Raw genomic sequence first — 13508 nt, forward strand, 5'->3', positions numbered from 1 at the left:
TGACCCCTCTAGAACCTCAATTCCACTCAGCCTTGGACCCCACCAGATCCTGCCATCCATTGATATTATCTCTTCTTCACTGGCCTCACTCCCTCTCCCCTTCTTACTACCCACCTTCAATTTCATGGCCAGTCATTGTGATCACCCCCTTGCACACCTCCTCAATTCCTTACCTTTTCTTGCTTTACCACAGCAAGATATGAGCTGAGGAGCATAAGGCAGCTGGCAGAGGTATCAAGACCACCATAATGTGTGAGCATTCCTGGGTGCTCCTTGGAAACGCTGGGGGTCCCTAGAGCTACAGGGGATAGGGAATGCCAGTTGATGTTACTAGGACACGAAAACAAAGCATGCTCCCTGAAGGCTGAAGAAATGGGGGAGTCTTGGGTTACATGAGGATTTATGAGGACCCTAAACTATCCCTGGAGGAGACCCAGCAACTGTGCTTAGTGGTTCCCCTGAAGTTAGTACTTTGCAGTTCAGCCTGCCTAGAAACCCACCACCATCGCTCATCCTTTCTCGGGGCACAGCTCCAAGCGATAGTGACTCACTTCTCAGTGTACATCTTGTACTCACACTTTCCAAGAGAAAGTGTCCGATGGAGTCACCGTGTCACTGTCTCATGGGGAAGACCCCTATGGAACAGAGTGTTTTGCCAAGCCACCTCGAAGGAGTCAGACTACTTTCTGGCTTGGGTGCCAATCCCTTGGTCAGCTTTCTGCAACCTGAGTGGCAGAACTCATAGCACAGGACATGACCACTGGCTGTGGAAGGTGCTGCCTGTGACAAGTGAGTTGTGGTCCTCAGAGCATCCTAGATCACACTGGCTCACGCTCAATTCTGAGAACCAGCTCTTAGTTTCATCTTTCATTAATCCAGGAACTCTGTACATTCACCTTCAAGGGGAATTTCGCTGGCAGTCCCCAGGCTCAGAGGCTGACTCGTGATGTCTCGATCAGACACAAAAAAAGGTACCTGTTCCACTCGCCTCCCCACACAGTGATTTCATGTGCAAAACCTGTGAGGAGAGTGTGATGGGAAACTTCATGTTCTGTTTCCAGTTCTGAGCTTTATTGTGAAGAAAGCAGATGGATGTGGGTTCAAATTCTGGTTTTATCTCGTCAGCTGTCAGACCCTGCGCAGTTTACTTAGGCTATCTGAACCTCCATCTCCTCATCTGTATGGGGAGAATGATGTTTACCTTTCTGAATCTTAGGGAGGTTTCAATGACTTGTATTTAGCACCCTGCCTGGCAAGTTAATACCAACACTTGTCTGTTGACCCCAACTCCCTCTGCATATGCGTATGCAGAGACACAAACGAATCCACAGAAAAGATTCTGTTGCTATTTGCCGAAGCTAAAAACCTTGAGAACCTCTATTGCTACTTGTCCTAGAGAGAAGCTCTGGGTTCAAGTGTCAGCCTTGTACTAAGCAGTGCTGACCCTTGATGGTATCACTCTCATTCTCCAGCCCTCCATGTTCCTCTCTGTAATATTGGACATGGAGTAACATTGAAGGGGAAGTTCCATATTTTTGCAGCCTAGCATCCCAGGATTCAAAGAATCTGATTAATCCAACACGCCTCTTTTAAAGTTGAGAAAACTGGTTATGTAACACCCAGAGTGGAAATAGGAAGTGAGAGGGGCAGCATGTAGGAAATGCAAATGATGATAGTGGACCGGGAGTAAGGGAGAGTGCCCCTGAATGGGGTTCAAGGAATGAAGCACTGACTGCTTCTCTACCCCTGCAGGGGGGCTGCTGTCTGTCAGCCTTCCTCAGTCCCATGCCTGCCACAAGCACCTGCCCATGCGAGAGGTTCCAGGCGTCTCTGCCAACCTGACCCCACAGCCAGTGCAGAATGGCCTTCACGCCAGGGAAGCATGACCACAAAGAGGTCAAGTCAGAAAATTATAAGACCCGAATTCTAGACACGTTCTGCCATCATAGGTGTGACCCTAAACAGGTCAGCTCCAGTTTCCTCATTTGCAAAACAAGGATGGCAAAGCATCCACTGCCCCGCACCAGGCTGTTGTGCAGAGGAAGTGGGCTAAGAAGGAAGATATCTCCTTGTAAACTTCCATGCCCTACACAAAGGTTATTGTTCCTTGCTGACATTGTCTTCCCAATTTGTTTCTGAGCTTCTTCAAGACAGGGAGCTGAAATCTTATATGTCTCATAACTAATTAGCTTCTACTCAGCGAATCTTTATTAAGCTCCAGGCATTGTGCTCAGCTTTTTATATATTATTTTCTCATTTAATTTTCACTTACAACATTATGGGACGATTATCTTCATTTTCTAGATGAGGAACTAAAATCAGAACTTCTATCACTGGCCCAAACACGAGTAGTTAGTAAATGGCTGAGCCAGGGCTTTTTGTAACTTGATTTTCATAATTTTATTGGTTCAAAATTCATGTACAAAAGTTTATACAATGAAAAACCTCTCTCCCATCCCTTTCCCCCAGCACGGCCACCTTACCTCAAGGCTACCAGGATACATCAGACGTATCACTCCAAAAATTATTCTTTACATATACATTCTTTCTTTTTCTTTTTGTACAGAAGGGGTCTCACTCTGTCATGATCATAGCTCACTGCAGCCTCAAGCTCCTGGACTCAAGCAATCCTCCCACCTCAGCCTCCCAAGCTGCTGGGACTAAGGCACACACCACCTTGCCCAGATCTGCATATACATACTAATATGTATAAATATTTTTTGTATACCCTTTTACCCCAAATGGTAACATATTATTGTTTTGCACTTTGCTTTTATACTTCATAAATCATTTGAAGTCTGTTTCCCTCTCTTTCTCTACATGTGCAAGACTTTGAAACTGGATTTTTAAAGTCCTGTGCTTTTATCAGAGCCCATCGCTGGATGACAGCCTTTAGTTAAGGTGGGTGAAGCTGGGGCCAGGGGATGTTAATGCTAGAAGAAGACTTAGAGATCATGGGATCAGCCTCTTCCACTGCAGGTGAACACACGGATGCCTACAGAAGGGAGGTGATCTCATTAAACTACTGCTGCCAGCACTACCCCCAAGAATAGTTGGGTGAGCCCACAGACGGTGGCAGATCTTGGCAGCCAGCCCAGAGTGCCTCAGCCCAGTGCCCTGGGCCACAGCCTATTAGGGAGAACCCCAGGCCTGGCTTCAGTTCCTCTTAACAGAGAGAAATCTGGGTGTGTGCCCTTGGCCCATAGAGACCAAGTTCATGTTGAGAGGCACCTGAGCCTCGGCTCCAGCTTCTCCCCTGGCCTCCCATTTGTGAAGGTAAAGTTCCCATAAAGCCAGTCCAGGGAGAGCAAAAGAGAGCCTCAGAGAACTGGGGGCTAGTGAGCGAGACTCCGCAGTAGACCCAGGGGTCCACTCCCTTCTCTGGGTCTTGATCCTCCAAATTTCCCCCATTTACATGGTAAAAAATTCATAGTTATACTTGAAAGGAGCTTCCATAGCATGAAATTCAAAGAAGATTTAAAGTAACCTTTCTTTCTGAAATAGAACTACATTTAGAGAGAACATCCTATATAGATTTAACCTTGAGGCTGGAAGATTGAAGGACAGGATTTCCCCTTGGGAAGCCCTGAAGGAGTTCAGGATCTGAGGGATAGATGAGACACCATTTTTCCAGGATGGTTTAGGGACCATTTTGCTTGAAGATCAGAGATGGCCCGAAACTCAGTGGTTTCGAGACTTTTGCCATTTGGTAGATCAGCAAAACTCGACACACACAACAAATTTAAGGACCAACAAAAGGCTGGCAACTTTGTATTTTGCCAAATAAGGATCTATGTATGGAGAGAGAGAGATAAAGAAATACTATTTGCTTTCACTGTTGTTTCACAAAGAAAGACGTTTTATTTATGTATGTATATATTTATTTATTTATTATTTTATTTTTTATTTTTGAGACGGAGTCTCGCTGTTGCCCAGGCTGGAGTGCAGTGGCACGGTCTCGGCTCACTGCAGGCTCCGCCCCCCTGGGGTTCACGCCATTCTCCTGTCTCAGCCTCCGGAGTAGCTGGGACTACAGGCGCCCGCCACCACGCCCGGCTAATTTTTTGTATTTTTAGTAGAGACGGAGTTTCACCGTGTTAGCCAGGATGGTCTCGATCTCCTGAACTCGTGATCCGCCCGCCTTGGCCTCCCAAAGTGCTGGGATTACAGGCGTGAGCCACCGCGCCTGGCCGTATATATTTATTTTTAACTTCTTTTTTAGGTTTGGGGGTACATGTGAAGGTCTGTTATATAGGTAAACTCATGTCACAGGGGTTTGTTGTAGAAATTATTTTATCACCCAGATATTAAACCTAGTATCCAATAATTATTTTTTCTGCTCCTCTCCCTTCTCCCACCCTCCACCCTCAAGTAGACCCCAGCATCTATGTCCTTCTTTGTATTCATGAGTTCTCATCATTTAGCTTCCACTTACAAGTGAGAACATGCGGTATTTGGTTTTCTGTTCCTGCATTAGTTTGCTAAGGATAATGGCCTCCAGCTCCTCCGTGTTCTTGCAAAGGACATGATCTCATTCTTTTTTATGGCTGCATAGTATTGCATGATGTATATGTACCACATTTTCTTTATTCAATCTGTCATTGACGGGCATTTAGGTTGATTCCATGTCTTTGCTATGGTGAATAGTGCTGCAGTGAACATACACATGCATGTGTCTTTATGGTGGAATGGTTTATATTCCTCTGGGCATATACCCAGTAATGAGATTACTGGGTCATTTGGTAGTTCTGTTTTTAGCTCTTCGAGGAACCTCCACAGTGCTTTTCACAATGGTTGAACTAATTTACAGTCCCACCAACAGTGTATAAGTGTTTCCTTTTCTCCACAACCTCACCAGCACCTGTTATTTTTTGACTTTTTTTTTTTTTAAACAGAGTTTCACTCTTGTTGCCCAGGCTGGAGAGCAATGGCGCGATCTCGGCTCACTACAACCTCCGCCTCCCGGGTTCAAACGATTCTCCTGCCTCAGCCTCCAAGTAGCTGGGATTACAGACATGTGCCACCACACCTGGCTAATCTTGTATTTTTAGTAGAGACAGGGTTTCTCCATGTTGGTAAGGCTGGTCTCGAACTCCCGACCTCAAGGGATCCACCCGCCTTGGCCTCCCAAAGTGCTGGGATGACAGGCATGAGCCACCGCGCCTGGCCTGACTTTTTAGTAATGGCCATTCTGACTGGTGTGAGATGGTATCTCATTGTGGTTTTTGATTTGCATTTCTCTAATGATCAGTGATGTTGAGATTTTTTTTCATATGTTTGTTGGCTGCATGTATGTCTTCTTTTGAAAAATGTCTGTTCATGTCCTTTGCCCATTTTTTGATGGGGTTGTTTTTCTCTTGTAAATTTGTTTAAGTTCTTATGGATGCTGGATATTAGACAAAAGGACATTTTCATAACAAAAAGCAAACTATAATCTCAGAATAAAGATATCCTTCAACAAACGTTTTCCACCCACATGCATAGTCTTTATTTTTTCTCAGACCAGCAAATATGTCATTGAGAGCCTTCAGCGATCTACCATGGCCTCTCATTTAGGAGTGACTGAACTTGAAGATGTCAAGTAGGCACTCTTAACCAATTGTCTATTTTCTTAAATTATTCTTACTCTTGGCTGGGCGCAATGGCTCACACCTGTAATCCCAGCATTTTGGGAGTCTGAGGCAGCTGGATCACCTGAGGTCAGGAGTTCAAGACCAGCCTGACCAACATGGTGAAACCCCGTCTCTACTAAAAATACAAAAAATTAGCTGGGCATGGTGGCGCACACCTATAATCCCAGCTACTCAGGAGGCTGAGGCAGGAGAATCACTTGAACCCGGGAGGCGGAGGTTGCAGTGAGCAGAGATCGTGCTACTGCACTCCAGCCTGGGCAACAAGAGTGAAACTCCATCCCAAAAAAAAGAAAATTATTCTTAGTCTTTCCCTCCTTTCCTCTTTCTTTCTTTCCTTTCTTCCTTCTCTTCTTCCTTCCTTCCTCCCTCCTTCCCTCTTTTCTTTCTCTTTCTCCTTTTTCCTTCCTTTCCTCTTTTCCTATACAAATATTTACTGAGCATATACTATGTTCTAGTCTACCATCTATTCTTCTACAACACATGTTCCTATAAGAACTCATCCACAGCTAATAAATAGGGAAATTAAGTGCTTATAAAGTGAAAGTTGGGTGGGTTCATATGGATTTTTTCCTAGCAAGAAGAGCTAAAGTAGCAGGAGTAGAATTCTAACCTTCAACAAGAAAGGGAAAAGCCCTCAACTTGGCTTTTGCTTAGGTAAGAGCCCTTTCAGCTCTATTTTAAGAAAATTGCAAATGCATGCCTGCACCTGGGTTTGCTTCCCAGAAAGGCTCATCCTAGGAAGCAGGTTGCACTTCCTCCTATGCCCACCTGGCCCAGAGTCCACTTCCATCTGCACCATCTCAGCACCTGCAACCAGCAGTACCACTCTATAGTTTTGTGCAAGTTTTAATATCCCCAGAGGCAACTTTCCAAAGTAGAATTGTTGCCTGGGCTGTCTAGGTTTTCTCTGAAGGCACCAATTACTGTTTTTATTAGTGCTCTATTACCGAGTTGCATAGATTTCTCAGGCCTGCCCAATCCTATTATTTTTAGCCTGTTATTTTTAGTGTGCAGTTTTACAGAATACAAAGTTTTTCAGGAATGTATGTATTATGTTACAGCACCTAACCTGTACTAAACCAATAGTGCTTATCTTTAACTGAACTAGAGTGTAATCACACCCACAGGATACTAAGCCATAGTTGAAAACAAAAACATAGAGCTACGTGGAAAAATCCCCACTGCAGAGTTAAGTGAACAAAAGCAAGCTGAAGCACAATACATACAGTATGATCTTATTCATGCAGTGAAGGGAAATAACCTTTGTAACAATGCTTTTCATTCTCTATGCATAAAGACACTGTATTCCATATGTCAGTAAATTAAAGGGAAACCTGGTAACAGCTTCGAGTTTAGTGAGAGAGGGGAGAAGGATCCCAGCAACATTGCCCTTAAATCCAGGTCAATGATGTCCTACTCTGGTCCCCTCTGGATCCTTCCCTTGGGACAAAAAGTTCTGCATTTAGTGGCACTTCCCTTTCCAGATCACAGTCCCTGGAAACTGGGACGCCAGAATTCTCTTGCGAGAGACTCCCGAGCCTGCTACATTTCTGGATCCATTTTCCTGACAATTGTTGCCTTTGTGCGCACCCTTAGGTCCAGGGAAGGGGCAGCGGGAAGAGAAGATGGGAAAGCAAGAGACCTCCACTGGTCCTGTTTTACAGGCAGGCCTGGTTACCAGGAGATAGAGTAGGTGCTGTCTGATCCTGCAGGAGGTTTTTTTTGTTTGTTTGTTTTTAGACAGGGTATTCCTCTGTCACCCAGACCGGAGTGCAGTGGCGCGATCTGAGCTCACTGCAACCTCCACCTACCGGGTTCAAGTGATTCTCCTGCCTCAGCCTCCCGAGTAGCTGGGATTAGAGGTGCCTGCCATCATGCCCGGCTAATTTTTGTACTTTTAGTAGAGACAGGGTTTCACCATGTTGGCCAGGCTGGTCTTGGACTCCTCACCTCAGGTGATGCACCCGCCTCAGCCTCCTAAAGTGCTGGGATTACAGGTGTGAGCCACTGCGCCCGGCCTGGTCCTATGGGACTTTATGTGTAAGGTCCAAGTTTTACAGGGAGAATCAGTTTTACGTTGTTTAGATACTTAACAATTAATTAAAACATAACAAAAAATTGCGATACTTTCTACTCATCTGGAAACTGGAACTAACAGGGTCTTTCATGATAATTCTTGATTATGGTTCCTGAGTTCGATGGGGAAAGAAATGGGGAAAATTAAGACATAGAGGGTGACAGGTGTCAGTGACTTCCTACTTTTAAAGAAAGCAGGCTTACTGTGATGGCTGCAGAGGGCTATGGGGTGAGAGTGGAATTCCCCAGAAGCAAAAGCCATAGCAATTAGTAGAATTTCCACCCCACTTCCACCCACTGTCTCACGTCCAGCCCATGGCCTGGCCCCAAGAAGCACCCAGGAAACAGTCCTGAGCAGGCCTTGTATCACACACTTCAGGGCAGTTGGTCAAATCTGTCATCAGAGGCGCCACAGACCAGGGGATTTCCTGTGGGTGGAGTCCTCAGCAAGGTCTTGGCACTATTCTGGGGTGTTCCCCAGCTCCCCCACACTGATTCCAGGAAGCCTGCCTGGGATTATCAGAACTTTGCTATCTTGTCCTCAGCTGCTTTCAACAAAACTGGGTGGGGGCTGGGGATAGGCCACCTGGTGAATGAGCCAAAGGAGAACAGAACCAGGAAGCAGCAGGCCAGCCATCTAGGTGTGTCTACTTATGAGCTTGGGCAAGCCATTTAACTCTGCGCCCCGCCGGTCCCCCTGCTACCTATAAAATTGGGATAATATTCCATCTCAGGGCAACTTCAGAAGGCTGTTGTGAAAATTAAATGAGATAAACAATCGATCTGATTTTTAAAAAAGACCAAAGACTTTGCATAGGCTGGGTGTGGTGATTCACCTGTAGTCCCAGCGCTTTGGGAGGCTGAGGCGGGAGGGTTGCTTGAGCCCAGGAGTTTGAGACCAGCCTGGGCAACATAGCAAGACACCGCCTCTAAAAAAAAAAAAAAAAAGACTGAATATATCTCACCAAAGAAGATACACAGATGGCAAATAAGCACATGAAAAGATGTTCAACATCATATGTCATCAGGGAAATGCAAATTAATACAATGATAAGACACCATTACACGCTATTAGAATGGCCAGCTCCAGAACATAGAAAACACCAAATGCTGGACAGAATGTGAAGCAACAGGAACTTTCATTCATTGCTAGCAGGGATGCAAAATGGTACAGTCACTTTGGAAGACAAGTTTGGCAGTTTTTCACAAAACTAAATGCACTTTTACCACACAAGCCAACAACTGATTGAACTCCTTGGTATTTATGTCCACACAAAAACCTGCACACAGATATTTATAGCAGCTTGTTGTTTTGTTTTCTTTTGTTTTGTTTTGAGATGGAGTCTTGCTCTATCGCCCAGGCTGGAGAGCAACGGCACGACCTTGGCTCACTACAACCTCTGCTTCCTGGGTTCAAGCGATTCTCCTGCCTCAGCTGCCCGAGTAGCTGGGATTACAGGTGCCCACCACCATGCCCGGCTAGTTTTTGCATTTTTAGCAGGGGTTTCGCCATGTTGGCCAGGCTGGTCTTGAACTCTTGACCTCAGGTGATGCACCTGCCTCGGCCTCCCAGAGTGCTGGGATTACAGGTGAGGGCCACCGTGCCCAGCCAGCAGCTTTATTCTTAATTGCCAAACCTTGGAAATAACCAAGATATCCTTCAGCAGGTGAATGGAGCAACCAACAATGGTGCATCCACATAATGGAGTATTATTCAACTCTGAAAAGAAATGAGCTGTCAAACCACGAAAAGACAGGAAGGAACCTCAAATGCATGCTGTGAAATGAAAGAAGCTAATCTGAAAGTTTACATACTGTATGGTTCCAGCTGTAGGACATTCAGGAAAAGGCAAAACTACAGTTAAAAGATTTTCTGGGGATTTGTGGGGAGGGGTGAGAGATGAATAGAGGGCATAGGGGATTTTGAAGGCAGTGAAACTATGCCGTTAGATACTGTAATGGTGTATATGTCACCATACATTTGTCAAAAATCATAAAATGAACAACAGGAGTGAACCCTGATGTAAACCACCGATTTTAGTTAACAATAATGCAGCAATATTAGCTCATCAATTATAAGAAATGTGCCAAACCAGTGCAAGATGTTAATAATAGGGGAAATTGGGAGGGATGGCATATGGGAACTCTCTGTACTTTCCACTCAATTTTTCTGTAAATCTAAAACTGATTAAAAATTTTGTCAATTAATTTTTTTAAATACTTCTACCTTCTTGGGTAATTACTTAACCTTTCTAGATCTTCATTTCAATTTCCTTAGCTATGAAATGAGGGGGTTTGACACGTGCTCATGTGGCTAGTGGCTACCATCTTGGATGGTGCAGATCTGGAAGATTTCCACAGTCTTTCTTTTCCTCTTATGACTTTTTTTTTTTTTTTTTTTTTTGAGACGGAGTCTTGCTCTGTCGCCCAGGCTGGAGTGTGGTGGCACGATCTTGGCTCACTGCAACCTCCACCTTCCACATTCAAGCTATTCTCCTGCCTCAGCTGGCCACGTATCTGGGACTACAGGCATGCGCTACCACGCCCAGCTAATTTTTTTGTATTTTTAGTAGAGACGGGGTTTCACCATGTTGTCCAGGATGGTCTTGATCTCTTAATCTTGTGATCTGCCTGCCTCAGCCTCCCAAAGTGCTGGGATTACAGGCGTGAGCCACCACACCCGGCCTGACTTTTTTTTGAGTACAGTCTTCCCTCCTTTTTTGTGAGTTGTTCCTTGTTTGGGTTTTCCGATGCCTTTTCACGATCAGGTCAGGGTGTTCTGAGTGTCTGGGTAGAGTTAGGTTCCTTCAGTGGCCGCAGTCTGGCCTTTCTCTGGTGGAAATGAGTGCGGTTTCTTTTGTACTTTGTAAGTGCTGGTGGCCAAGTCTCTCATAAACCTCACCTTAAAAGCATCCAAACAGCTAACGAGTTGAACCCAAGAGAGTAACGCTTTGTCAGCTCCACACTCAACAAATCCCTAGCTCTTGGAGCAGTTCTGACTATCAAAACTGTATTCCCAAACCCTTATAGGAGTACTGCCAACCATAGGAGAGACCCAGAGGATGTCAGAGAAAGACATTGATCAAGAAAATCATTTCCATTCTGCCAGGATGCCAGTTAGACTGGGTTCTGGAGTCTCCCTAAACCCAGTAAGGTCAGAGCTCCCCTTGAGATTACTTTGCCGTTATGCAAGTGCGTGTTGGGAGGTGTGGGGAGGTCTGCACATATGGTTTCCTCTCAGTGGCATTTAAGACTTCACCACCTTCAGGCTAACTTTAGCAAATTTCAACAAAGGCAGCTTCAGCCACCAGGACTTCTTGCTTGAGGTGCCTTTCTTTCTTTTGCAATTAGAATAGTCAAACCTCTTTATATCCATTTCCTTTTGAGCCCCAGGGCAGCATCTTTGGTATCATTCCATTGCCTTTTGCTGTGGAGGTGCTTAGGCCTGTGAAAACTGTCTCCATGAGAAAGATTTCCCCTTCATCCCCCATTTGCTCCAACTAGGGGATCCCTTTGGCAGAATCCTGAACTAAAGCTGTATGTGTGCTTCTGAAATCTGTGGCCCTAGGGGCCTGGTAAGGACCAATCTCTCTGCATTTACTTCTCAAGACACTGTCATAGATTTTGAAAAGTGCCAATCCCTTGAATACTATTTATTCTTGTGACATCTTTTTCTGCAATTGTGGAATATTGTTCTAGTGTTTTATTTCTCTTGACTTTCCCCTATTTCTTTCAGGAAGGCCCAGTTTTGTGTCAGTTTAACCTTTCGTTCAAGTCAGTCCATTTATTTCATATAAAACCAGTTTTATTTTCCAATAATTGTTTTTTCTTAACATAATCCTCTAGATTTTTTTCTGATGGGATTTCCCATAATGAGAGATATAAAATCATTAATTCTGTGTCTGTTCAAAGCAATCGCTGTTCAGCCAAGCCTTGCCCATCTTCACCTTGTTGAGCTGGAAACTCCCACCAGGAGGTCTTCCATCTGTCTAGCACTGATCCCAGGCCTGGACTTGTTCTGTTTTTGTCCTCTCTGGCTACACTTTAATATATCTCGTCTTTCCTGTGCTTGCCTTTAGAGACCAAATTCCATGAATTTCTCAGGTATTCCCTTAGGCACAGGCATTTCCTGGGTCACAAGAAAGTTCACACAATGATTTTTTTTTCTAGTATTTTACACTGATCTTTCTGGTCTTTCATTCTAAATCTGTCTACACTTTTGTAAGCACTTTAGTTATCATCCCATTGTGAGACTGAGCAGGATCCGAAGTTTGAATATATTCAAACTTCAGCTTAATTTTAAAACTTCAGATTTTGGACTTTGATTTTAGATTTTCATATCTTTGATCTCTCACCTCTGAAAGGATTTAAATTTGGGGATTTTGGACTTTAACTGATAAGGGCAAGAGAATTTCATTTTAGATTTTCATTTCTTTGAAATTTATCTTATAAAAGGTTTTATACGGCCGGGCGTGGTGGCTCACACCTGTAATCCCAGCACTTTGGGAGGCCGAGGTGTGGGGATCACCTGAGGTCGGGAGTTCGAGACCAGCCTGACCAACATGGAGAAACCCCGTCTCTACTAAAAATACAAAAATTCACTGAGCGTGGTGGCGCATGCCTGTAATCCCAGCTACTCAGGAGTCTGAGACAGGAGAATAGCTTGAACCCGGGAGGCGGAGGTTGCAGTGAGCCAAGATCGCACCATTACACTCCAGCTTGGGTAACGAGAGTGAAACTCCATCTCAAAAAAAAAAAAAAGGATTTACTCTTGGCCAGGTGAGGTGGCTCATGCCTGTAATCCCAGCACTTTGGGAGGCGGTGGACGGCAGATCACCGGAGGTCAGGAGTTTGAGACCAGCCTGACCAACATGGTGAAACCCCCTCTCTACTAAAAATACAAATATTAGCCAGGCGTGGTGGCAGGTGCCTATAATTCCAGCTACTGGGGCTGGAGAATCGCTTGAACCTGGGAGGCAGAGGTGAGCAGTGAGTGGAGATTGTGCCATTGCACTCCAGCCTGGGTGACAACAGTGAAACTCTGTCTCAAAAAAAAAAAAAAAAGGATTTATTCTTTGGAATATTCAGGTGCCATCCCATAGTTTTTACAATGTTCTTACTGAGCAGCCCTGCTCTAGGCAGATCTAGGAGGACTTCTCAAATTTTCCTGGATGCTGGCTACTCCTAAAAAAACTCATTCTGTTTTTTTTTTTTTTTTTTTTTTTGAAATCTAGCTTCTCTTCCTCTATTGGACCTCACTGGAATTCAGACACTGTTTCTGTTATAGACTTCTCTGAAATGTGTTCCTCATCTTTATTCCCCTCTGTAAGAACAATTAGTCTTGGGTTTTTGATAATATAGATCTCTCTACCACAAACTGAGAAGGTGCCATTCTCTCTGTGATGAGAAACGTCGTTCTTTTTTACTTGTTTTCTTCATAATAAAACCTACTATCCTTTTGTGGGTGAAGCCACAATGTGGGTCCTCAACATTTAGAAAAATAGTTAAGAGTTTATATCAGTAACAATTCCAGAACCATTTGAAGTCACATGGTGGGCGTTTCTTTTGAAACTGTGGGCAAGTTACAGGAATTAACTTAGTTCTTCTATAGTTCCCTCTCTCTGCCCTGAAGATAATTTATAGCAACACAAAAGAAGAGCAGAACTTGGGGATAGTTTATCTTATACCACTTAGAGACACCTGCCACTAACACTCACTGCTATTCTGAAAAATATGCAGAGCCTCGGTTTAAAGTCCTGACCTCCTGGCTTGAAAACAAGGAACACAGTAAAATTGTGC

The 13508-nt window shown here is 44.4% G+C and overlaps 4 annotated features.

The window, feature by feature from the left end:
• Window positions 818-917: an enhancer, noted in NCBI's record as "active region_5820". NCBI's record gives its function as "activates an Ori minimal core promoter by ATAC-STARR-seq in GM12878 lymphoblastoid cells {active_cell/tissue: GM12878}" and the evidence as "EXISTENCE:reporter gene assay evidence [ECO:0000049][PMID:35858748]".
• Window positions 1333-1833: an enhancer, noted in NCBI's record as "H3K4me1 hESC enhancer chr12:4256026-4256526 (GRCh37/hg19 assembly coordinates)". NCBI's record gives its function as "activates a minimal SCP1, AML or CMV promoter by ChIP-STARR-seq in primed H9 embryonic stem cells {active_cell/tissue: H9 hESC(primed)}" and the evidence as "EXISTENCE:reporter gene assay evidence [ECO:0000049][PMID:30033119]".
• Window positions 7895-8488: a transcriptional cis regulatory region, noted in NCBI's record as "candidate enhancer chr12.200 targeted for multiplex CRISPR interference". NCBI's record gives its function as "positively regulates CCND2 gene expression with high confidence in K562 cells {active_cell/tissue: K562}" and the evidence as "EXISTENCE:mutant phenotype evidence [ECO:0000015][PMID:30612741]".
• Window positions 8016-8385: an enhancer, noted in NCBI's record as "active region_5821". NCBI's record gives its function as "activates an Ori minimal core promoter by ATAC-STARR-seq in GM12878 lymphoblastoid cells {active_cell/tissue: GM12878}" and the evidence as "EXISTENCE:reporter gene assay evidence [ECO:0000049][PMID:35858748]".

Source organism: Homo sapiens, chromosome 12, assembly GCF_000001405.40.
Source record: "Homo sapiens chromosome 12, GRCh38.p14 Primary Assembly".
In the NCBI taxonomy this organism is placed as follows: Eukaryota; Metazoa; Chordata; class Mammalia; order Primates; family Hominidae; genus Homo; species Homo sapiens.